Source organism: Homo sapiens, chromosome 2, assembly GCF_000001405.40.
Source record: "Homo sapiens chromosome 2, GRCh38.p14 Primary Assembly".
Taxonomy (NCBI): Eukaryota; Metazoa; Chordata; class Mammalia; order Primates; family Hominidae; genus Homo; species Homo sapiens.
The window spans coordinates 216,759,649-216,786,569 of NC_000002.12; the positions used below are offsets into that span (position 1 = coordinate 216,759,649).

The 26,921-nt window shown below is 44.8% G+C and overlaps 1 long non-coding RNA gene and 1 pseudogene across 2 annotated transcripts in view; one reads left to right on the forward strand and one right to left on the reverse strand.

Moving 5' to 3' along the window:
- Positions 1 to 26,921, forward strand: part of IGFBP-AS1 (IGFBP5 antisense RNA 1) — a 116,628-nt gene that overhangs the window by 65,203 nt on the left and 24,504 nt on the right. For both annotated transcript variants that reach the window (NR_187138.1, NR_187139.1), the window contains exon 3: positions 5,241 to 5,362. This is a non-coding gene — a long non-coding RNA (IGFBP5 antisense RNA 1). The remainder of the gene's footprint in view (positions 1 to 5,240; positions 5,363 to 26,921) is intronic.
- On the reverse strand, positions 26,152 to 26,531 carry RPL31P14 (ribosomal protein L31 pseudogene 14; annotated as a pseudogene).

Consider the following 26,921-nt stretch of genomic DNA (forward strand, 5'->3'; position numbering starts at 1 on the left):
AATAAAATAATCATGTGATTTGGCAATCCCAGGCTGATTTTCTCTGGAGCTGCCAGCTTGATTTTCATCAAAGTCACAGAGTGTCTATTTGAAATGTTCTAAATACAGGCCTTGGGTTTAGGGTGAAACTGCCTTAGACTTGGCTGCTTGCTGATTCCCTTCCAACCCAGACCCAATTCTGGCCCAGCATCTCTTTAGCAAGACTTTCTTCCTGGGGCCTTTGGTCTTTGGAACACCTTGGATGCTGTTTACAAATGACAGGATCATGTGATTCTTAGCAGCGTTCCCGCCCCTTTCTTAATAGAACCTAAACTAAATGGTACATCTTACTATTTTAGATTGAACGAATGAATGCCTTTTACATTCAATGAACTATCATTTAGTTGGTTGATGTACTTATTTTCCAAACCTACCAAAGCAACTACCATCTTCAGGCTGTCATATAAATTTCTGTAAGGAGTTTTGGTTTGTTTCTATCTTTGCTCCTGTCAAAGTCATCAGCCTAAATGAGTGGCCATTAGCTAATTGTCACACAGTCACAAAATTAGCATTCTGAAGATTCACTTTAGATTTGATATCCTTTTTCTCTGTGGAGCTGTAAGTTAGGATTCAATATGCAATACTTTTTAAAAGGATAGCTTGAAGTAGTGAAAAATTAAGAATGGACTAACTAGCCCACAATGAAGGATAGGTTTAATAAATCATGATGCACCCATAGGATAGAATGCCATCTGCCATGAAAAATTATGTTGAAAAAGATCTACATAAATAACAAGAGAAAATTATTAAAGAAAACCAGAGCATCCCTACAAGCATGAAATGGGTAATTTTAGAAAACAATTTAAGAGGACACACCCGACATACAGTCATTAAGGCACTAAAAACAGATTTTATTCTGGAACCATTGCAATAGGGGGAGAGAGACTTCAGTAGAGAACTGGGCTCAACTCTGAATACAGCATGGACCAGTTGGGGCGTTTATGGCCCAGGTGCAGGGTGGGAGTCAATGGATGGAAAATTGCTAAGAGGAAACATCAGGGATAAGGGAGGGGGTTCTGGCTAAACAGACTTGATGGGATTCTTGCTGAAGGCAGGCCAGGGTGGTCAGACACCAAGGAGGGAGGATGAGGTACTTGATATCAGGGTTGGAGGAGTTGTTCTAAACCCACTTCGCAAGATTATTGCTACAACTGGGCAATACAGGCCTGACAAAGACGGATGTCAAGTTTGAGACCTCAAGGCCTTAGAGTATCCTTACTAAAGTTTGATCAAGCATTTTTGTCAAAGTGTTCATGTCTTATTAATACGTCCAAAAAGCAGGTTAGATACAGTTAGATACACTATGATCCTGTTTATGTTAAAATATTTATATACAAATAACAGAGAGAATATGGGTGAGTTTTATTTTCTTTGTGCTTTATCTCTATTTTTCAACTTTCTGCAGTGAACTTATATTGCTTTTATAATAAAAAATATGTTAAGTTTACTAGACATATGTGAGAGGTGGGAAATTCTTCACCCTGACTTTTTAGGGTCAAGCAAGACTTTTTAAACTTTTATTGGAATTTTGCAGCCCTAAAAACAGAAACTAAGAGTCCTTTGCAGACTGTTTCCTGAAGACAGGGTTGTTAGCTGTAGCAGAAAGCAAGCCAGCACGGTGTTGAACTTTGTCAAAAAGGATATTGAAACCAGAAGTGTTTGTTCTGCTCCTCATACAAACCTTGGTGCAAACACATTCTAGTTGCCTGGTCTCAAATGAAAACAATAGAGAGGCTATTATCTAAAAATAATAGATCTGGCTCATGGAAGACCTTCCATCTGCTTTTAAAGAGGATTTTTCATCCTGAAAGTATGGAGGCCTATAGCACATTTTTATGAAGCCATTCAGGGTTGAAATATGGTGAACCTGGATATGATTTTAAACTCCTTCCCTGTGAGAAGAAGGGAGCATCCCTAGAAGCATGAAATGGGTAATTTTAGAAGACGGTTTAAGAGCACACACCCAAGATACAGAAATAATACATGTTTGAGGTGGTAGATATCCTAATTACCCTGATTTGATCATTATCTCTTGTATGCATGTATCAAAATATCACATATATCCCCTACATACATATGTACAATTATAATGTATCAATAAAAACTAAAAAAAGACAAAAACAGAACTTAAATTTTATAGAGCCATGAATGCATTTTGGTGAGATTATTACCTTCCAAAGGGGGTACAGGTGGGTCACAGAAAAACTTCAGTGAAATTAATGGGATTCAGGACTGTGTCTAACCCAGTGGTTTCCAATCATTTTGTACTTACATTGGAAACACGCTTGATATGATGAAAGAACTGAAGATAGCAATTGATGAGTCAGTGATTATTACAATACAATCAATGGTGTGTTTTAGTATCCAAGAAAGCATTCAGTCACCTCATAATTCGTTTGGGTTCCTTTCAGTGCCATGGTCCTTATGAGCAGAACTCTCTCCTTCTCTCTCTTTTTTTTCAAATGAGACAAGGTCTTGGCCTACCACCCAGGTTGGAGTGCAGTGGCACGATCATGGCTCACTACAGCCTTGTCTTCCTGGACTCAAGTGATCTCCCCACCTCAGCCTCCTGAGTAGCTGGGACAACAGGTGCACACCACCACACCCAGCTAATTAAAAAAATTTTTTTTTTTAGAGACTGGGGTCTCATTATATTGCCCAGGTTGTTGTTGAACTCCTGGTGAGCAGAACTCTGTATGACCCTGACCATGCTCCCATACATTGTCACCTGTGGTGCTCGAACATTCCACTGAGCACGTGCTCCTTCTTTGGAAGGCACCCTGCCCCTTTACTCACTGCAAGGAGCACCTGCTCTCAACTGAGTTACGTGGTACAGTCACCTCAAAAGGACACAGGACCACCACTGCCCTAACAGTGTGTGTACTCAGGTGCAGCAAAAATAAAGAGCATCCTTGTTCACATTCAGGATATCTACCACCTCATTTGTTTTTTTAGTTTTTATTGATACATTATAATTGTACATATGTATGGGATATATGTGATATTTTGATACATGCATGTAAGAGATAATGATCAAATCAGGGTAATTAGGATATCTACCACCTCATTTGTTGGCTGTCCTGTGAGGGTCGGGGTGGTTGGTTGAGGGCTGCTGCCCTTGTTGATGGCCTGCTCCAGCACGTGGTCAGAGAGCTTGCAGCAGTGGGCTACACACACTTTTGGCCTGACCCTGGGTGATACCTCTTGTGTTTTTGCAGAACAAATATTTGTTAAATAAGTGAGTGAGGTATTCTTGCTGTTTCAGAGGTCTCATTGTCAGTGGGATATTTTCTTTGGTTGTATCTCTGGAAATCTTTGGAGGAGTGACAATCTATCCATTTTCCTTTCCAGCTCCTCTTGCCCAAGCCCATGTATCAAATGAGAAAGTAGGCTAGGTGCAGAATGCCACATGAAGGTGAGAGGGAGGACTTGGTTGGGGAGAGGTTGCTAATTAGAGGGGTCTTGTGGCCTAGAACAGCTTCTTAGTCTTGGCTTTAGGCCAAAGCCTAACTAGATGTAAAACAATTGATCAAATTAAAAGTGTGTGTGTGTGTGTGTGTGTGTCTGTGTGTGCTGGGAAAAGTGTTGAGAGGAGTGGTTCATAGGTATTATTTGCTTATTGGTTAGGTTGTATCTTGATGCTCTCACAGATAAGCTCTCAAGGCAGTGATCCTCACAGAATTATAATAATTCAGGTAGAGTAGAATGTGTATATGTGTGTGCTGTGTTGAAAAAATTCCCTAGGTAATTCTGATTCCCACCTCCCTTGAGAACTACTCACTGAGGGAATCATCATCTCACTTCTGCTTCCTCATGAAAGGGTCCTTTTGGCATTATTTCTCTGGATCTTCTTCATCTGCACCCAAGGCTCACTACTCCCTAGGGTCATTATCAGGGGGAAAAAAAACCCAGATCATTAATATGCTAATGAACCATCCACTGCCTGCATTTGCAGAGCAATCTCTGGCTGTAAGAGATGCAGGCTACATGGGTTTGTATTAATTAAGTACTGAATCCCCATAGAAAAATTCCAAATCCTAACTCTCACTCTAAGCCTTTAGAATGAGTAAGACTGGGCTGGTGTGTGGGTGTGCTGGACTAAGACTCCAAGGGTCCTTGATGCTGAAGATGGTACCTTGGAAAGGGATGAGACAAGGCCCAGACAGGCTGGGGTACACGGGAAAGACAGCACAGGCAGCAGGTCCAGTGGGTGGGAAGCCTATGGCTGTATTGGAAAGTATCTAGACACACAAAGACAGACCAGGGTGTCTTCAGCCAAGCGAGCTGAGAGAAGTGCCATGTATGAAGTCTCTGGTCTTTCCTTCATAATGGCAGGCAGCTGCAGTCTGCTCATTCAGAGCAGCGGTGGTCAACTCTGAAGGCTGAAACCCACATAGAGGTCACTTGGTACATTTGTTTTCTATCAGCGGCTGTAACACAGTGAGGATCACTGCCTTGAGAGCTTATCTGTGAGAGCATCAAGATAAAACCTAACCATGAAGCTGGTGGCTTGGAGCAACAGGAATGTTATTATCTGACACTTCTGGAGGTCAGAGGTCTGACCCAGGTATCACTGGGCTAAATCAGGACTGTGTTCCTTTCTGAAGGCTCTAGGGGAGAACCTGCTTTTTTTCTTTGTTCCAGCTTCTAGAAGCTGCTCACATTCCTTTGCTCGCGTCCCCCCTTTCCTCTCCATCTTTGAAACGAGCCACGTCGTGTGTTTGGGGTGTTCTTCCATAGTCACATCGCTCTTTCTCTGACTCTCCTCTTCTGCCTCTTTCTACTTTTAAGGCTTCTGTAATGACATTGGGGCCACCTGGACCACACAGGATAATCTTCCATCTCAAGGTCATCTGATTAGCAACCCCAATTCCATCTGCAGCCTTCATTTGTCTTTGCCATGTAACTTAACATATTCACAGGTTCTGGGGATGAGGGCATAGCCATCTTTAGGCGGGAGGTCATTCTTCTACCCACCACAATTGGTTTGCTGCTGGATCACCTTCACCGTGGGGTACAGGCACAGGGGGTATACTGGTAGCAAGTCAGCTCCAAGAATCAAGGTCCCCAAGACCCCCTCCTTCTACTTCCAGCTTCCTCTTCTGTTCACCTCCCAGCCTGGAACACCTCTAGACATATGTATGGAGTAATTTTAAAGAATAATTTTAAAAGGTGTTCTACTAAACCTGCAATTTTCGTAGGAACCAGCAAGTGATTCTTGAACATTTATGCCAGAGAAATGAAGACTTATCTTGACATGAAAATGAATGGACGTTTATTTGTAATAGCCAAACCTGGAAACAATCCAAGTGTCCTTCAACAGGTGAGTGCATTAAACAAACTGTGGTCAAGCCATACCATAGAATATTACTTAGCCACAAAAATGAACTATTGATACACACAACTACTTGGTCCAGTCTCTAGAGAATTATGCTGAATGAAAAAAGGCAATCTGAAAAAGTCACATAGTGTATGATTGAAGTTATAGAACATTCTCAAAATAGAAACATAGAAACGGAGAAGAGATTAGCATTTGCCGGGGGTTAAGGGTAGGGGTTAGCATAGGTAGGAAGTGGGTATGGCTACGTAAGGGCAACATGAGGGATTCTGGTCTTGGAAATGTTCTGTATCTTGACTATAAAAATCTACATCCTAGTTTGCTATTGTACAAAAGTTTTGCAGGATGTTGCTATTGGGGTAACTGGGTAGAGAGTACAGGAGATCTCTGCATTATTCCTTACAACTGCATATGAATCTACAATTTTCTCAAAATAGAAAATGCAATTTTAAAAAAAGGCTTTTGATTTCAGAGAGCCAGCAGTGGACTTGGAGAGATTGTTACTCTTCCTACAGGGGAGTTCTAAAAGGCTTCACCTGTTTGGAAAGGAGCTGTTAGCTGGTCGGGGGAATGTCTCTAACTTAACCTGTGTCACTTTGGAAACATTTCTTTTCCTTAATTTTTAATATGGGCAACTAATTCATTTCCTCCAATGCCAAGAAATTATTTTTACACATAGCAACAAGTGTATGGGGTGATTGAGGGTTCCAGCCAATGAGAAGGCACATCCCTCCGTGAGGCTGAACCTTATCTGTCTCCCTTTGTCCCTTCTCATGTCCTCTCCGGTCCTCTCTCCTTTCTGGGTGGGATTCTCTTTCTTGGTAACTAAGTCCCTCCTCCCTTCTCTCTCACTCCCTGTTGACCAGACACAGCCACTGCAGGCTGAGGGTGGGAGGCCGGGGAGCCAGGCGGGAGGGGCAGGAAGGCGCTGGGTCACAGCCCGAGGCCACTCCTGGCTGGCTCTGGGGTTGGCTTTGCTCAAGGCGAGAGCTGTCAACTCTGCCCTTTTGAAAATGAGCAACAAAGGGAAAAAGAAAAGAAAAAAGAAAGGGAAGTGGGGGAAGCACAGGGTGGGCAGTGGGGGGAGGCGAGTGCCGAGGGAACAGGTGGGGACTGTTTAAACAGAAGGCCTGACTCAGCCGTTTCTTTTCACTGCATTTCCAAAGGACTGTTTGTTTTAGCTCCCCAAGGCGGGTGGCAGGAGTGAGGCTGGGGGCCCAGCCCTGGGGAGAAGCGGGGCCTGGGCTTTGGGGGTGGGGAGCAGGTGTCCTCTGGGCTCACAACAGCCTTTCCTACTTCAGGGGCTGGCTTACTTCATGCACTTCCTGGTTTTTGAGCTCCGGGGCTTTCACCTAGAGAAGCTTTGGGGATGATGGAGGATGGAGAACTGGGTATGAGAAGCTTCAGGAAGAACCATGACACCCCCCTTCCCACTCCCAAATGAGGTATTGATCTAGAAAATATGTAGATGAAGAGAATGGTAAAGGGATGAGGAAAAAGAATTATCAAGCCCTCCTCCATCCAATATCATAAGACACTAGAAAGTCCCTCTTCTAGAAGAATACCTATACTTCTTGAGTCCACAGTTACATTCACAAATAAGGCAGGGCTTGGGACTTGCGATTTGCTCCTGTTAAACCACACCTCCTACAGGAAGGCTCCAGGTCACCTTGTCTTTGTACACCAAGCTCTGTTTCTTTCAATTAATTCACCTTGGGCTTGCCTATATAACCCTGGAGATCAGTGATATGGTCTATATCAGAGAAGAACAATTTGCAAATCCAGGGTGGGAGGTGTGGCGATGTTCTTTTGTTTAAGCGACCATTTAGAAAGCTAATGCTTTCAAAAGGTTCAGACTTATCAGACCACTATTAGTGCCTAAGAAAAATAATGTGGTTTTAGGATTTGATGGATTTCTCCCCAGGGAGAAATCCATGAGCTCAACATGAGCTCCAGCATGGAACATAGTTGGTCTAGATGCAAGCTGCACTTAAACCAACAAATGATTAGCATTAAAGGAGAAGGGTAAACAAGACTCTAATTCATAAGTTGCTAACTCTTCCATTACAGTTCATGAATTGTCCTCACCTCCATGCAGCCCAGCTTGATCCTTATCAGGTACTCACCATACTGTGTCTCCACTCTGTGTCTTGTGTCTACCTCCTTTGCCTCCTCTTCTCTCCTTCATTCCCATTCTTCCTGGCTGCCTAGAAGTAGCTCAGCCAGCCTTGCCTGAGCTTGTCAGTTCCAGGGATCAGGGAGTCGGGCATTCCCTCTGCACAGAACCCAGCGCAGTGTCAGTACATGATCATTAGTAAATGCCTTCTGACTTTGACAGTGGTGGGTCAGGGCAGACCTGTAATATTTTACCTGGTTGTTTTGCTTAACATCAAATCAAATTTAAAAGATAAAAAATACTCGGGAATTTCCACATTTGACCAGATTCATAATCCATCCAGGGAAGTATTCTTATACCCTGAAGGTGTATCAGATCTAACGCCTATTCTAATCACTCTACCTTAGCAGGAAATTGAATAAGGGTTGTGGGATCCTTAGCTTACAAGTCTTCTGGTGACTCTGATTAAAATTAAGAGGTTGGATTAAAGTTAAGAGTTTGCTCTGAAAAGTTATGAGTTTGGATTAAATGATAGCTTCTCTAGTTTTTCCCTCCACTACTGAAGATCTTATGATTTCTTTTATTATCACATGAATTTCATATTGTGAAATATTTACAATTAAAATCTTTACAGACAGTATTCTACATTTCAAATCTCCAATATCAAAAACATAACTAGCCATTAATGTGTAAGATAACTGGTGTTTACCATGTAGAGTTCATTTAATTTCAAGAAAACCTATTGCATTTAACTGTTGCTAATGATTATAATAATAACAATAAATATTGGTGAGGATGTAGAGAAACTGGATCCCTCATGCATTGCTGGTGGGAATGTGAAATGGTGTAGCCTCTGTGGAAAATGGTGTGGTAGCTCCTCAAAAGGTTAAATATAGACTTACCGTAAGACCCAGCATTTCCACTTCTAGGTATATAAACCCAAGAGAGCTGAAAACATATGTCCACACAATAATGCACTAAAGTTTATAGCAGCATTATTCCTGAGAGACAAAAAATGGAAACAACCCAAATGTCTATCAACTGATGAATAGATAAGCAAAATGTGATATAACTATACAATGGACTATTATTTGGCAATAAAAATGAATAAAGTACTGATACATGCTACCACATGGCTGAACCTTGAAAACATTATGCCAAGTGAAAGCAGCCAGGCAGAAAACAGGCAAATATGTAGAGACAGAAATTGACTGGGAGGCCAAGGCCGGAGAATCGTTTGAACCTGGGAGGCAGAGGTTGCAGTGAGCTGAGATCGTGCCACTGCACTCCAGCCTGGGTGACAAAGTGAGACTCCATCTGAAAAAAAAAAAAGAAGAAGAAGAAATTGACTAGTGGTTGGCTGGGGCTGGAGGGTGGGAAGGAATGGAGGAGTGGGTGGGGGGAACTGGCTTGGGGTTTCTTTTTGGGTAGCAAAATGTTTTAAAACATATTGTGGTGCTGGTTGCACAGTGTTGAATATACCCAAAACCATTGAAATGTATATTTCAATGTATATTTCTTAAATGGACGAATCACATGTGAATTACATTTTAATAAAGTTGTTACAGAAAGAAAAAAGGTAAGTGCTAAACTCATTGCAGTGGTGGTTAGAGAAGAACACTGGATTTGTCAAGCCTGGCTTCCCAGAGGAGGTGGAATTCCTGCTGGGCCATGAAGAAGAGGTAGGGTTGATTGTGGAGAAGGCCCTTAAGGTCCTTCCAGGCTTGATGGGAGAGTTAATTAGCAGAGGCTCAGAGGCAGGGGTGGCCTTGGCCTGCATGGGGGCAATGAGACTGTCTCCCTGGCTGGAGGAGAGCGTGCACTGGAGGATTTCTGCAGAATGATAAGCAGGTGAGCTGGAACTGATAGGAAGGCCCTGAAGTCCCAAACAGGACCCTGGACTTGACTCCTCACAAGCAGGGGACGCTGAAGTTTCTTGGGTAATTTGATGGAAGCAGTGTTTTAGGAAACTTCAAAGCTTTATTTGGCAGAGAAATATAAGCAGAGTTAGAGTGGGGAGAGATTAGAAGAGGAATGGGTAGCTTATTCGAGTAAATCCAATGAACAGGGCTGTCACATTTTCTCTTTAGATAACTTTATCTCTCTAGTTATATCTCCTTGCAGTCCCTACCCTCCACCCTGTATACCAACCACACTAGTTCCCTCTCCCCCAAACACCCATGACATTTTATACCTTGGCCCCTCTCCAAGCCCCCCACCCCTTATCTGGAAAGCCATGTCTCTTCTCCATTTAGTAAACTCCTATTCAGTGTTGAGGACCAGCTAGATGTGTTTTCGTGGGAGGGGAGGAGAATCGGGTTGAAGGGCTCGGGGAGTATAGGGATCCCTACAGAGCATTAAGGGAGGTGCTCTTGCCTGGAAGAAAGGCGGAACAGAGGTCTGGTATAATTTAACCACATGTGCATTAAAGACAGAGGATGGGCAAATATGGGACCTGAGACAAAGTGGAGAACCTGTGACCAGGATAGCTGAGAGGGTAAAGGGTCAGCTTCCAGTTTTCTTACTAGTCTAGAAATGGCTTTTCAATGGTACCCAGGGTGTATCCTGGAAGTGGGTGCTCTTAAGAAGCCAAGCTGGGTTGAACAAAATGCCACTTCCCTGGGCTGTCCTTTCAAAAGACAGTCTCTGCCTCTTCCTGGCACTTCTGTTTGTTGCACTATGCATTAAAGCATGGTGTTGGCACTTGCCCACCTCTCCAGCACTTCAGTGAGACAGCTACTCCTTAAAGCTAGTGATATGAAGACAATGTCTCATGAGTTCCCTCTACCCTGGTGCAGCTTATCATGATCCTCTAGCTCCAAATGGCCTCCAATGGTAGAATTCCAGGTACAGCACAAGTGTTAATACCTCCTTTTTTTGCCTTGGCTTTTTTTAATTTCTTAGGGGGTGATGGTTCTGGGTGGCCAACCTCTTTATGTTAGATGCTTTATTTCAGTCATTATAAAGTGAGCATCCATGGAAATGGAGTCACATTTAATAATGTGAATTCAAATGTATGTAATTCAAAGAGACAGAGGACAGAATGAACAAGTTGAAAGGGTGTGTGTGATGATGTGAGCCTGAGATAGGTGCTGTCAATCTGCCATCACCTCCCAGCCTCTCTATCCTCAAGTACCTCCCCCAGTGTGAGCAGCTCATTAGGTGGGGGATGACTATGGTGTTTACAACATGGCCCCTAAACACAGTTCAACTACTTCACCGGCTGCACAATTGAAGAAACTGATCTCTTTCTACAAGGTCGGAATTAAAGCAGACCTTGCCGGATCTATTGAGAAGTGTTGTGTACTCTGCAATGGAGGGAATTCAAAGCTTGACCACATAAGACTTTTCCCTTAGACACTGACTTTAAAACGAAATCCCCATGGAAGTTGCTTCACTGGGGCCACTTGCAGTGTCTGTCACAATGGTAGAATGAGCTAAGGTTGAGCCTTGAGGGAGCTCACAGTTGGGAAACAATTTACAAGCACATTGTTTCTGCTCCTGGCCTGCTCATTGCTGCCTTGTTTCTATTCCACCCCCTGGTGCTGCTTCTCATCTCTTTGGAGGTGAACAGGTCCCCCCACCCTGTCCTTTCCCTCTTTATAAGTGGTCTGACATGTGAGGGTGAGGAAGGAGTTGGCCTGATTGAGTATATAGTTTTTAACAAATTCAAATGTAAACTTTTGGTGGTTCCTATTTTTTATTTACTAAGCAGAAAGAAAGTGGTATCTGCTCATTCCTGGCATTGAAAACAAGGTTGACTCACCCTCTCACTATATGGTGGCTGGCACACTAAAGCCAACCACAATCATGGGTTTCAGCAATTGCCTTACATTGTTCCTCATTTTTGCCATTCATTAATCCATCAGTTTTTCCATGCACCCATCTATCCACTCGTCCACCTACCTATCCACCAACCTATCCATGTATCCATCCATCTGTTCATCCATCTATCCACCCGCCCCACCCATCCTTTCATCCACCTGGTCATTCATCTACCTGCCTATTAGTTTATTTTACATAAAAACATATATCTGTGACTTTTTTTTTTTTTTTTTAAAGACAGAGTCTCACTCTGTTGCCCAGGCTGGAGTGCAGTGGTATGATCATGGCTCACTGCAGCCTCAACCTCCCAGGCTCAAGCGATCCCCCAACCTCAGCCTCCCAAATAGCTAGGATTATAGGAGTGCACCACAATGCCTGGCCAGGCATAACATAACGTTATGCTTTGCAACTTTGGAAGCACATATGTGACAGGGTCATGATGAGCAAACACCACAAAACACAGGTTAAAAACCACTTCCCTTACTTCCTTCCTTGTTTCCTTCCTTCTTTCCTTCCTTCCTTCTTTCCTTCCTTCCTTCCTGTCTGTCTTGCTTTGTCTCCCAGGCTGAAGTGTAGTGGGGGTGACCTCGGTTCACTGCATGCTTTGCCTCCCAGGTTCAACCGTTTCTGTGGCCTCAGCCTCCCAAGTAGCTGGGACTACAGGTGTGTGCCACCACACCTGGCTAACTTTTGTATTTTTAGTACAGATGGTTTCAACGTGTTGGCCAGGCTGGTCTTGAACTCCTGACCTCAAGTGATCTGCCTGCCTCAGCCTCCCAAAGTGCTGGGATTACAGGTGTGAGCCACCATGCCCAGACGCTGGCTAATTTTTATATTTTTTGTAGAGACAGGGTTTCGCTATGTTGGTCAGGCTGGTCTCAAACTCCTGAGCTCAAGGGATCCTCCCACTTCAGCCTCCCAAAGTGCTGGGATTACAGGCGTGAGCCACTGAGACTGGCCAAAATTTTATACAACATAGCAAAGCTTATAGTGACAAGCAACTTTCTCTTTTCCTGCTCATCCTTATCTCCCCAGTTCCTCTTTCCAGTTTGTAGGGTATGCGTCCACAAATACTCTTTGCATGAGAAGTATTCTATGTAAATCCTTGTTTTTTATTTATTTTTCTAAAGTGGTATCATAAAATGTGTACTGTTACCTTGCTGTTTTTCATTTAACAATATGTCTTGGGTATTTCCCCACATCTCTCAAGCCACTTTTCTTGGTTGGGTGTGGAGGCTCACATCTGTAATCCTAGCACTTTGGTTTGAGCCCAGGAATTTGAAACCAACCTGGGCAACATAGTGAGACTCCTGTCTCTATAAAAATTAAAAAATTAGCCAGGCATGGTGGCATGTGCCTGTACTCACAGCTATTCGGGAGGCTGAGGTGGGAGGATCACTTCAGCCCAGGAGGTTGAGACCTCCTGGGTTGAGACTGCAGTGAGCCTTGATCACACCACTGCACTCTAGCCTGGACAACACAGTGAGACCCTATATCAAACACACACACACACGCACACACACACACACACACACACACAACTTTTCTTTTTCCTTCCCCTGGCACTTCTTTCTTTGATCTCCACACTGAACTCCACATTCAACCTCTACCTGTGACTTCTTCATTTTTGGCAATTTATCTGAACAACAGCAACAATGACGTAGCAAACATATAGCATTCTACATATATAAACCTGTTTAATCCATGCAACAAAATTATAAGGTAGATAATATTATCCCCACTTTATGAAAGAGGAGACTGAGGCATAGTGAGGTCCCAGCAGAGAGGTGAGCAGTAGAGGGGGATGTCAAACAGGCAGTTCAGCTCTGGAGCCCAGCAGCTCAGCCTCTATGGTGTTTGTCTTCATTTGCTTTTTGATTTCAATATTCTATAGACTTGCAGCTGAGGGGCTCCTGCTTCTGGGCTGTGCTCCACCCCCCATCCCTGTTGCGGGTGATGAAATTCAGATAATCTGAGGATGACAGAGGCAGCCCATAATCCTGGAGGAGCCTCCCACCATTCCATGTAATCCAACCTTCCTGGGTTATATATTACCGGGGAAAACCTGGGCCACAGAAAGCCCCTGACCATGATTTCTGTGTGCTGGCTGGTGTATCTTTGGGAACTCTATCCAGTCTTCCATCTAGTTTCTCGCTGATAGGCTTGGGAACCTCTTTAGAATGCCTCATGTATGCGACACAAATTAGTTCTCTTGACCATCTCCCCTGAAAGCCATTCGCTTCTAGCCGCCTGTCTTGGCTCCCTGCCAGTGTGCCTCTGACTTTGCAAATGCTGCAAGAGGCAGCTATGTTCCCAACGGCTGCCCAAATGGGATGCCACCACGGGCGCCTGCCTGCTCTGTGGTGGTAGGAGATAAGGATACTTTCAGAGCTCTGAGCAAAGTGCTTGGAGAGGGCCCTCCGAGATGGGAGAGAGGCTTTTGGATTTGGGCATTGGGGACTGCTCATGAAGGGAAGCCTTTGATCTGGAGCATGTCAGGTGGTGAGGGCAGGGGGCAGGGGTGGGGTGAGCAGAGGCTATTCTGGGCAAGGAGAACCTCATTGGTGAGACACACAAAGAGATTTGAGACTGAACTGTGTTCAGTACGAAGCCCCAAACTCAGCTGGAGCTGACCCTAGATTGCCTTCGATTCAAATCCTACCTGAATATACAGGGCCCAGGAGAAACTCTGCCTCCTTTCTCTCCAGCCATTCTGGCTGTCAGCAGCATTTATCATGCAAAAAAAAGCAACAACTATTTGTTGAGGCCAGCTGTTTGCCAGCACTGTTCTCCATCTGGCGTGGATTGAGATACTTTCTCTCCATACTTTCTGGGTTCATTGAAGTTGGGTGAGATGGAGATGGGACAGGACCCTCCAAGCCTCCTGATTGAGCCTTTAAGCCTCCCTCTCCCCTTGTCCCAGGCTGGGAAGGTTTTCCTCATTTTTTAGCATCCAGTGAGTGACTGGTAGCCATGGCCAGATATGGCCTGGAGCTGGTTTTCCAGGGCCCACTTTAGATTAGGTGCTTGGCAATGATGGGGCAGAGCATGAAGGTGAGAAGGAGTTGGGTCTCTGTGCCTGGTAGCATCAGAATCTCTTCTATCTCAAGGTCCTGAGAGGTATGTGGATACTTGTGGATGCATTGGTGGCCAAGTTCATTGGTGGCCAAAAAGAAAAAAAATAAATAATCAAAGACCATACAGAGAAACTAGAACATTAAAACAACTTCTCCAGAAAGACGGGCAAGATGAAGGTGAGACTAAACAGAGACCTTGATACCTTGAGATCCAGCCTCAGGTTCTCGTGGTCACACGCTGTTGCTTCTTGGACTCTGAGATCTCTGGATGCCACTCTTGGAATTCTTGGAGAGGATCTGGGACTCTCCCCACATTGGGGAGGAGGCAGACTCACAGGATTTTAGTCTATGTGACATGTAACTAGATTGGCAACAAAGGAAACCACATCATAGCCACACAGAGGAGGGAATGCAGCCACGGAGCTGGAATTGCCTGCCTCGGGGGTGATGGTTGGAGTCCCTCAATATTTGACAAGAGTCTATCTTTATTTTCCGAAAAGAAGCAGAGTAGAAATGAAAAAGAATCATTCAAAGGATGACGAGTTGAGTGTTTGGAGGGGCAGTTACAGTTTCCACCCCTTAAACACTGGGAAAACAACAAGAGTCGCAGCAACCCTAGAGATTCCGGAGAGTTCTGGACTGCACTGGAAGTGCATGGAAGCTGAGTGGGAGGGGGAGGAAAGTGATGCCTAAAAATACTCCATGAGGGAGGGCTTATGAGGTCATCTCCCCAGGATACTCTGTCTACCCTGGCCAGACTCTGACCGCAGCCCCAGGGCCAGCTCTGAGTACAGTCATCTGAATAGGGCAGGAGCTTAGGAACGGGTGTTGATGGATGGGCAGCTTGAGAGGGACAAGGGGAACCTGGAGAGGATTCAGAGAAGGGACCCAGAGGTGATGAAATGGCTGGAAACTAGAGCTCGGTGGCCAGGTCAAGGGACTGGGACTGGCTCTACCTGGAGAAGAGAGGGAGGTTTGAGTGAGGGGTTAGGGAAGAGCCCTGCCCCCCGGTGCTCAGGCCCTGGCTCTTCTCTGGCCTTGCTGAGGATGGAATTAGGGTCACAGTGCAGCTTTGCTCTTGAGGATGGACTGAGTTCCTGGAGCTTTAGAAACCCTATAGCAAGGGGGAGCTACGTTTTCAGATTATCAGCACGATCACCCCCTTCTGTAATTGAGAGTGACTAACACTTACAGCCATTGCAGCTCACAGATCCCTAAAGCCCTTGTGGCCTGGAAGAATGACTCATGAATGGTGTTTCAGACAGCTGGCCTGGCTGGGGGTGGACACAGGTTTGAACAGTTGGGACACATGCCTGGTACGCATCAATCACTCTCAGTCTGTTGCCCAGGCTACAGGGCAGTGGTGCGATCACAGCTCACTGCAGCCTTGAACTCTTGAGCTCAAGTAATCCTCCCAACTCAGGCTCTGAGTAGCTGGGATTCCAGGTGTGAGCGATTGCGCCCAGTCTGAAGCCCCTCATTTTTACACTGGACCCATGAAAGGAGGACTGGAATGAGGTTGGAGTGGGTGGGTATAGACTTTCTCAGGAGGAAGAAACTAACTCATACTTCTGCGGCACCTTCCGTGTGCCAAGAACTTTACGTGGGTAGCCTCATTTAATTTTTACAATAATCCTGTCGGGGAAGGAAGAGACAAACTGTTCTTTCCATTTTACAGATTAGGAGATCAAGCAAAAAGAGATTAAGCTTGTACCCAAACTCACCTAGTTACAATTGGAGTGGTACAGTTGAGACCTGACCAGGCAGGTCTAATTCCAGAGCCCACTTGCAGTTGATGAGGGAAATCTAGAGACATAGTCAGATTTTTCATCTGGCCCCAGAACTCTTCAGACAAAGGTGCCCAGGAGCACATCCTTAGGTCAAGCTCACCTTCTGACTCTCAGAGTCCACATCTAAATTTAGAGAAGGCCAGTTCAGAGATTCTCCAGTACCCCTCCCATGTCTTAGCTTTGGAGGGTCCAACTTGGAGCATCCCTGAGGTTTCCCTAGGTGGAGAGAAAAGCTATGTGGGGGAGGAGAGATGCAGTTTACGTGTCTCAAAGTGGTGAAAGAGATACAATCCCCAAGCTTGGATTTGCAATTGGTGTCTGGTTGCCTTGGCCTGGAATCTGAACCTGAACTGTTTTCCATGGGCAAATTAGCTAAACAATCCAGCCCACAAAGGGAGCAGCTCTGATATGTCGGTGAACAAGCTCAGAGAGGTGGGGGGCCGTGGGGGTGCACAGAGTTGACAGCGGAGGGAGGAAGGCTACTGGCGAGAAGCCGACCTTCTCTTATCTTGCTGCCTGCGGAGTCAGCCTTTGCTTGAGAACCTGGCGAGGAGGCTGGTCTGATTTCCCTGTGGTCTGAACGGTGGGAATTTTGTTTTGGTGGCAGATTATATTTTCCCAAGGTGGTTTGAGTTACACCTACCCCGTTTCATTTAATTAGGCTGGTGCTGCTGTCTATTGTGTCTCCTGGGCCTTCTTGCATGAATAAATAGTAACGTGTTTGTTTTCTTTTGGGTGGGGCACTTTTTAAAAAATGGTGGGGTTGGCAAAAGTGGGGAGGTCCTCAGGAGGGATGATGAAGTCATCAGGAAACAGGTTAGAGGCAAATGTTCACCCCGTGGAGCTCAATAACTCCTTTCCCCCACCTCTGGGGCCCACTTTTATACAATGTATTCAGAGCCTCCTCTGTTTTCACTTCTGTTCCCAGCCAGGCTTGCTTTCTCTTTGCGGTGTGCCTGGAAATCAGGTGTTTCCTCCTCCAGGCCTACTGGCCTCCCCTCATCCCTTCTCATTTTACTGTAGTTTTCCATCCAGCTCCCTCCTTCTCTCTCTCTCTCCATCTCTCTCTAGCTTCTGGCTACTCCAAGATTATTAACAGGCAACCATGAAATATTATGCAGCCATAGAAAGAATATAGGAACTCTATACACGTCCACATGTAATGCTTTCCAAGAGATATTGTAAAGAGAAAGTGCTGTAAATAGTATGCCCTCTGTGTGTAACAAAGAGATGCTTACCTGTGCACATAATATTTCTGGAAATACACAAAAGAACTGGATGGAGTCTGGAATAGAGTCTGGATTTGGAGACAGACCTACTTTTATATTGCATTCTTGAGTTCTATTGACATTTTTTATTATGTGCATGTATTACTTTTTATAATAAAGAATTAATTTATAAAAGGAAAGCATACTATAATATTGTACATATTTAATTACTAGATTAAGCAGTGATTACGTTCTGTCTTAGAGGATGCAGGTTTGAATCCTAGTTACACCAAATATTAAGTATATGACTGTAGTTAATTTATTTAATCTTTCTAAACCTCAGTTCCCTCATCTGTAAAAATAATAACCACGCCTACTTTACGAGGTTTTTAATCTCATACTTTGCAGTGAAGGCTATTGGTCGAGTACATCACTAAGTGGAAGTAAGTTTTAATTTCTGTGTGAAATTCTCCTTGAAAGTAAAAGCACAAATTATAAAAATAATTCAGACCATGGATTCTGATTTTTCCATTTAGAAAATGATATTACTAAATAATGAAAGTCTAGCTTGCAAGAAGAGTGAGAGTGTTGTTTACCTGGGATTGTTTTAGAGGCTTTGGGGAAAAGGCCAAGCGTTGGGCGATGGGGAGAATTTGGTGAGGCTAGAGGTGAGGCCATTGCAGTTATAGGCAACAGTGAGGGCAGGGTGAAGGCAGGAAGGGACAGAGGATAGTGGTAAACAATGAGTAGATCAGTTGCGCTGGAGAAGCAGTTTCCTCTAGAGGGCGATAAATAGAGACAAAGAGGTTGGAACTGGAAGGCCAAGCCAAGGATCATACACTGTGTCCTACAGGCAGTGGGAGGCACTGCAGGTGTAAATGAGAAAGTGGCTGGGTTATCTTTTGCACTGTATGCAGTGGCATGAAACAATCTTTTGTCATGCTCACAAATTCTGTGAGTCAGATATTTGGACTGGGTATAGCAGGAATGATTTGTCTCCACTCTCCAATGTCTGGGGCTCCAGCTAGAAGACTCGAAAGTTGGTGACGACTTGATGGCTGTGGCTGGTGTCATCTGAAGGCTTGTTTACTCACTTGTTTGCAGTTCACACTGCAGTCGGCTGAGTCCTCCGCTGTATCTGTCTCCCAGACACATGTCCATGGCATCTCCATGTAGGCTGGGCTTCCCCGTAACATGGAGGCTGGGTTCCAAGGGCAAGCATTTTGAGAGACCTAGGAAACTGTAATGCCTTTTCCAACAGAGTTTCAGAAGTCATGTCCTGGCTCCGCTCATCAAGACAGTCACAAAATCTTGCCCAAGTTCAAGGGGAGGGGAAGTAAAATCCCCCTCTTGGTGGAGGAACAGCAGGTGGAACCAGAAATACTGCTGTGGTCACCTTTGCAAAATACAATCTGTGACAGACAGTGTCATGGAAAAAGCCATTAATTCAAAACAAATATGTATTGAGGCTGCTCTGGCTATGGAGTAGCCATTCTTTATTCCTTTACTTTCTTGATAAACTTGCTTTCACTTAAAAACAAACAAACAAATAAACAAACAAAACACATATGTATTGAGCATCTGTTATGTGTTAGGTACCCTGCCCCTGCAAGAGCCTGGGGAGATAGTGATGAGAAAAAACAAACATGATTCCAAGTCCTAGAGGTGACAGCCTGGTAAGGAGGCCAACTTGCATCAAATCATCACGTAAAAAATATAAAATTTCAACTATGGTAAGTCCTGGAGAGGAACATGGGACTATGAGTTCCTATAACAGGGTATGTTTTTTATTTTTTTGTTTTTAATTTTTATGGGTACATAGTAGGTGTATATATTGATGGGATACATGAGATATTTTGATAAAGGTATACAATGTGTAATAATCCTATCAGGGTAAATGGGGTATCCATCGCCTCAGGCATTTATCCTTTCTTTGTGTTATACACATTCCAATTATACTCTGTTATTTTAAGATGTACAAAAAATTATTGTTGACTGTAGTCACCTCTTGTGCTATTAAATGCTAGATTTATTCAGTTTATATTACTATATTTTTGTACTCATTAACCATCCTCACCCCTTACCCCACCCATCCATTACCCTTCCCAGCCTCTGGTAACCATCGTTCTATTCTCTATGTCCATGAGTTCAGTTGTTTTAATTTTTCGCTCCCATGTATGAGTGAGAATATTTGACATTTGTCTTTCTGTGCCTGGCTTATTTCATGTAACATAATGTCCTCCAGTTCCATCCATGTTGTTACAAATGACAGGATCTCATTCTTTTTATGGCTGACTAGTACTCCATTGTACATAGGTATCGCATTTTCTTTATCTGTTTGTCTGTAGATGGACACTTAGGTTGCTTCCAAATCTTGGCTATTGTGAATATTGCCGCAATAAGCGTGGGAGTGCAGATATTTCTTTGATATACTGATTTCCTTTCTTTTTAGCATATGCTTAGCAGTGGGATTGCTGGATCACCATAGTGACTGTACTAATGTACACCAACAGTGTATGAGGGTTCCCCTTTCTCCACATTCTCACCAGCATTCATTATTGCCTGTCTTTTGGATAAAAGCCATTTTAACTGGGGTTAGAGGATATCTCATTGTAGTTTTGATTTGCATTTCTCTGATGACCAATGATGTGAAGCTCCTTTTCATATACCTGTTTGCCATTTGTTTGTCTTCTTTTGAGAAATGTCTATTCAGTTTTTGGCCCATTTTTTTTAATGTGATTAATAGATTTTTTTCCTGTTGAGTTGTTTGAGCTCCTTACATATTCTGATTATTGTATCCCTTGTCAGATGGAGGAGTGTGGATTTTAGAGTCAGACACGGAAGGAAATGTTTCCCTGAGGAAGTGATGTTAGGGTGAAGAACTAAGGATGATAGACGTGGAGTAAGTAGATTATGAAGGAAGAGGGTTCTCCATTCAAAGATCCCATGGCAGGAGGGAGAAGGTGCATGTGATGACTATTTGTATAGCCCTGATGAGGGAGGACAGTGGCAATGAGAATAAATAGCCATGGAGAAGTGAGAGAGAAATTTTGAAGAAAGTACCAGCTGACTGAATATGGGGGACTTAGGAGAGGTGAAGGATAAGATGTTCTTGTGAGGTGTCAGATCAGGATAACAAGGAGGATAGTGCTACCATGAACTGGGGTCAAGAAGTCAAAAAGAGGGTGATTTGGTGAGAAAGAAATTGTGTTCAGGCTGAGGGATGTTGAATCTCAGGCAGTTGTGATATAAAGTAGCAGAAATCTGGGTAGACAGTTGGCTTATCTGACCAAGTAAGGGGTAGAGCTATAGCTTTTGGAGTAACAGATGTAAAACTGAGGGTGGAAGCCATGAGGAGTTAGGTTTGCAAGGAAGAGAAAGCAGGAGATTCAGAAGGGACTGGACTTTAGCACATGCACGTATTTAAGGGGAAAGAGGAGGAAGGGAAGGCAAAGAAGGGGATGACGAAAGTGGTCTGGGACAGAAGAATTAGGGCAGAGTTCATCTGGAAAGTCCGAAGATGAAGACATTTCAGGAGGGGGAGGTCCACAGTGCCATGTATGGCAACCAGGGCAGGAAGAGCTAGTCCTGAAAGAAGGCCTGTGAGGCTTGATGGCTTGGTGAAGGATTTTTCCCAGGGTTCTGCAGACAGAAAGAGGCAAAAAGAGTAAGTTAGGGTGGAGAGGATGGTGAGGATGTGGAAGGAGGTGATGGAAGTGACTGGATGACTTTGGTAGTGGGAGGAGGAAGCAAGTGATGAGGTGAAAGAGGAGATGGCAAAGTCATGGGGAGACTGGTCAAGATTTTGACGCATGACTCTCACGGGAAGATTAAGACAATGGAGCTGGAAACTGCTGGAGAAGGAGCGAGGCTTTGTTGAGGTCAATTTCTTTACGACTTTGGCATCTTCTTTTGGTTAAAGAGCTCCCTGCTTATTTTTAAGATGGAGACCCCAAAGGGTCATGGTTAGGAAAACTTCATAGCTGGAGGGAAATGCACTCAGAAGGGGTTGATTTGTGCTTGCTTTTTCTTTTCTTTTCTTTCCCCTCTCTCTCCTCCCCCTTCCCTTCCCCCACCTTCTCCTTCCCCTCCCTTCCTCTCTGTTCCTGTCTCCTCCCCTCTCTTCCCCCTCCCCTCCCCTCCCTCTCTTCCCCTTCCCCTCCCCTCCCATCTCCTCTCCTCCCCTCCCCTCCCCTTCCCTTCCCTCTATTCCCCTTCCCCTCCCCTCCCCTCCCCTCCCCTCTCTTCCCCTTTCCCTTCCCCTTCCCCCTCTTCTCCCCTGCCCTCCCCTCCCCTCTGCTCCCCTCCCCTCCGCTTCCCTTGCTTTCAACAGTCTGTCTCTGTTGCCCAGGCTGGAGTGCAGTGGTGTGAACACAACTCACTGCAGCCTCACCTCCTAGGCCCAAGTGAACCTCTTGCTTCAGCCTACCACCTACCTGGGACCACAGGCATGTGTCACCAAGCCTGGCTAACTTTTTGATTTTTTGTAGAGATAGGGTCTCACTTTGTTGCCCAGGCTGGTCTCAAACTCCTGGGCTCAAGCGATCCTCCTGCCTCGGCCTCTCAAGGTATTGGGATTACAGGCCTGAGCCACTGTTCTTGGACGGATTTGTTCTTTAAATCCGTGCCTGGCCAAGCAGTTAATGTAAGATTGTATCTGCAGACAACCAGTCCGTATAGAATTTTGCCTCAAGATTCCCTTGTACTGAAGAAAAAAAAGAACTTTAAAAAGCCCTCCAAAGAACTCTCATATGCTCCCGTCAGAGTATTTACAACATTCTGTTGAAATGGCATGTTTACATACCCTTCTTTCTTAGCAAGGCCTCATGTTCTCCAGGGCAGGGACTGCACCTTATTGTTCTTAGATTGCCAGAATCCAGCACCAGACCTGGTGTGCCAGGGCCTCTCAGAGGTCAGGAGAGGTCAGGGCCTCTTCCATTTTCGAGGACTCTGACATTGGTTGAAAACGGACCCAAGGACAAAACAAGGTTATAACAATCACAATATAATTCAAATGATAACTGGAATAAGTTAACAGTCTTACTTCACTTTCACAAAAATGAAACATATTTGTGCTATTCGTAATTACAGGTTTATGGAAAAAAACTTATTTGCAGTGAAGAGTCTTCTTTCACTTCTGCTGATCTGTGTGGCTGTGCAAAATCACACCAGGAGATGATGTTGGCACATACGTCTGAGGCTGGTAGTGCTGTGACGTGGAGGCCAGCAGCCCTCTCGCTGCAGCAGCCTTTCCAATCATCCCTCGCAACCCTGCCGGGCCCCCAGCTGAACAGGGTGGCATACAAAGGGTGCTCAATATGTGTGCTGCTTCCTTGACTTGAACCATATTATTCATGGATATCTCCTCGGATGTCTCTTTCACCTTTTTTAGGTCTTTGCTCGAATGTTCCCTCTTTGGAGTGTCCTTCCCTGACTCTTCTACTTTATTTATTTTATTTATTAATTTTTTTGAGACAGAGTCTTGCTCTGTCACCCAGGCTGGAGTGTAGTGGTGCAATCTCAGCTCACTGCAACCTCTGCCTCCAAGGTTCAAGCGATTTTCCTGCCTCAGCCTCCCAAGTAGCTGAGATTACAGGCGCCTGCCACCACGCCTGGCTAATATATATATATATATTTTGGTATTTTTTTTTACTAGAGACGGGATTTCACCATGTTGGCCAGGCTGGTCTCAAACTCCTGACCTCAGGTGATCTGCCCGCTTTGGCCTCCCAAAGTGCTGGGATTACAGGACTCTTCTATTTTAAATTGCAGTGCTTCCCATTCGCCTGTACTCTCTAACTCCATTCTCAGCTTTATTTTTCTCCATTGCACTTATGGCCACCCGCATTTGACATGCTTTGTTCATTTAATTGTTTCTTGTGTGTTATCCCCTTCTAGAATGTGAACTCCGTGAAGACATGGAGTTTTGATACTAGAATGAAGGCACTTGGCTCATAGTTTCCTAGGGCTACTGTAACCAAGTATCACAAGTTAAACAACAGAAGTGTGTTGTCTCCCAGTTCTGGTGGCTAGAAGTCTGAAAATAAGGGGTTGACAGGTTTGGTTCCTTCTCAGGGCTGAGAGGGAGAATCTATCCTAGGCTTCTCTCCTAACCCCGAGTAGCCTCAGACATACCTTGGCTTATATTTGGCGTTCTTCCTGTGTCTTCACATCATCTGCCCTCTGCATGTCTCTGTGTCCAGATTTTCCCTGTTTTATAAGGAGGTCAGTCATATTGGATTAGGGCCCACACTAATGACTTCATTTTAACTTGGTCACCTGCAAAGACCCTATTTCCAAATAAAGTCACATTCACAGGTCCTGGGGGTTAGGATCTCAATATGTTTTTGGGGGACACAATGTAACCCATAATAGTACTCAATAAATATTTGTTGAATAAACAATAAGGTCACTTCCTTAGGAAGAAAATAGGCCATTTGAAGGTAGACATCATCTTGATATACCATTGTTGAACATGGGACAGCATCTGCAGAGGACAGAGAAGGGACCAAGGGAGAGAGGTGGCTCCCTGGAGCTGGTGTGGCTGAGACTGCAGAAGGGAATCAAGGTAGGGACTCTCTGCAGCCAGGTTGCAGTGCAGGTGCCCTCACTCAGCAAAGCAGAGACCAGGGCAGGGCTCGGAGGAACCTGGAGGGGCCAGGGCAGCGACAGAGTGCTCTGCAAGGAAGTCCAAAGCCAGAGACAAAGGCTGGGGAGCCACATACAGACAGAGATCAAGAAAGCAGGTTCTAGCAGAGTCTGGAACCTCCACCAGCCTTGGTGGAGCAGAGAGGGCCCACTTTTCTCTTGGGCTAGAAAGATGAGCAGCTTGGTTTAATGTCCCACCTGGTTCGCAGGTGAGAATGAGAACTGAGAGCCCTGTGTGTGATCTTGGGCTACAGGGTGGTAGAATTCTGGGCCATGTGACCTACTGCTTCTAGGCATTAGCATGTTACTTTCTCTTCCCTTGGCTTCTTTTTTCTTTTGATTGAAGTTACTTTAGAGCATTCCAACTTCTTCTTGGTTGAGAAATTCCTTTTCTTTTCTTTCTTTCTTTTTTTTTTCTGAGACAGGGTCTTATTTTCTCAGAGTCACCCAGGCTGGAGTGCAATGGCACAATCTTGGCTCACTGCAACTTCCACCTCCCGGGTTCAAGCAATTCTCCTGCCTCAGCCTCCGAGTAGCTGGAATCACAGGCACCAGCCACCATGCCCAGCTAATTTTTGTATTTTTAGTAGAGACGGGGTTTCACCGTGTTGGCCATGCTGGTCTCAAACTCCTGACCTCAGGTGGTCTACCCATCTCGGCCTCCCAAAGTGATGGGATTAGAGGCATGAGAAATTCCTTTTCTAAGGAGAAGAGGAATTGCCGATGATGGTGCCAGCTGGGGAAGAGAGGGTGAAGGCTTCACGTGGCAAGACAGCAGCCAGCCCAGCATGAGAGGCAAAGGAACTGGGAGCAGATATTCATAAACTCAGGAGGGGGCAGAACTGCTGGCCTGACCACTGAGCCTTTCCTAGTTGAGTCTTTAATTCACAGAATATACAGGCAGAAAAAAATAGCTCATCCTTGGCCTCCTACTGATGTAATGTCACTGGATCAACAAAGTGGTTACACACAGGCAGTCACACAGGCACAGACTCAGAGTGTGCAGGGCAATGGAACTTTAATTCAGGATATGGAGCAAGTACAGATCACCTCCCAGCAGCGTCTAGACCCTGGGGAATACAGAGGTAAGCCTGCAACTCAGGAGAGGAGCCAGGCATATCAACTAAAGTTTGGTGCAACGGGGCAAGTGTCGAATGAGATACTGAGGTTGCCTGTATTCATTTTCCAGGATTGCTCTAACAAAAAACCAAAATCTGAGTGGCTTCAAACAGCAGAAATTGATTGATGTTCTGGAGGCCAGTCAAAAAGGTGTCAGCAGGGCCATACTCTCTCTGAGGGGCCTCAGGGAGAATCTTTCCTTGCTCTTCTAAGCCTCTGTGTTTTCCGGCATCCGTGGTGTTCACTGGCTTGTGGCTGCATCACTCCAGTCACATGGCCATCTTCTTTCTGTGTGTTTTCACGTGGTCTTCCCTCTGTGCGTATCTGTCCCTGTAACCATGTATCCCCATTTTATAAATACTCTGTTCATATTGGACTAAGACCCACCTTAATGACATCATTTTAACTTGATTACCTCTGCAAAGACCCTGTTTTCTTTCTTTTCTTTCTTTCTTTCTTTCTTTCTTTCTTTCTTTCTTTCTTTCTTTCTTTCTTTCTTTCTTTCTTTCTTTCTCTTTCTTTCTTTCTTTCTTTCTTTCTTTCTTTCTTTCTTTCTTTCTTTCTTTCTTTCTTTCTTTCTTTCTCCTTCCTTCCCTCCTTCCTTCCTTCCTTCATTCTTTTTTTTTGAGATGGAGTCTCGCTTTACCACCCAGGCTGGAATGCAGTGGCACAATCTTGGCTCACTGCAACCTCCGCCTCCCGGGTTCAAGCGATTCTCCTGCCTCAGCCTCCTGAGTAGCTGGGATTACAGGTGCCTGCCACCATGCCCAACTAATTTTTGTATTTTTAGTAGAGATGGGGTTTCACCATGTTGGCCAGGCTGGTCTCAAACTCCTGACCTCAGGTAATCTGCCCACCTTGGGCTCCCAAAGTGCTGGGATTACAGGCGTGAGCCACTGTGCCCGGCTCACTTTTTTTTTTTTTTAAAGTTTATAACTTTATTTGATGTATTTGATGATCAGCAGTTAGTTCTCATCCACATTGACTGTAGATTTTTGAAAGTGGTAACAGGTACATAGGTAACCAAAGTATAGAGCTTATTTGGTGAATCTTTATCCTCATTATGTTTTCTGGACAACCACACACAGATACAGTATGGATATTCCTTATTCCTTTGGCTCGGACAGCTTTGTTAAGACTGGCATCAGTGTGCATATCTGGAATTGCCATCTCCTTCGTGGCAAATTTCTGGATCTCTCTGAGTGCCTGAGAGACACGCTTCTTGAAGCCCCTCCATGGATGCACTTGTGAATGTCGATGATGTATTCTTCAGTCACCACCTCATTGATGGCAGAACGGCCCTTTTTCTTCTTGTCACCCATCTTTGCAGCGCCATTCTGCTGGGCCCAAGTTGGAAAGGAAGAGCACCAATCTTATTTTCAAATAAGGCCACATTCTGATTATTGGGGATTAGGATCTCAACATATCTTTTTGGGGGGGACACAAGTCAACCCATAACATCGCCCAGTGAGGGAGTGACTACTCAAGGTGTTTGTATATAATGGGCAGAATGTTGGGGAAGGCTTACCAGGAAAATGAAGTGGAACAAGAGGCATTCCAGGCAGGCAGACCAGTGCAGACAAGAAGACATGAAGACGAAGATTCAGGACAAAAAGAAACTGACACCTCTTGGGATCCTACTGTGTTGCTGGCACCATGTTAGATATCACATAAAAACCAGCATTGAACCCTCCCCACGTTGCCATTACTCCCCCATTTCACAGGTGAAAGCCGATATGTGGAGATAGGAAGTGACCGGGC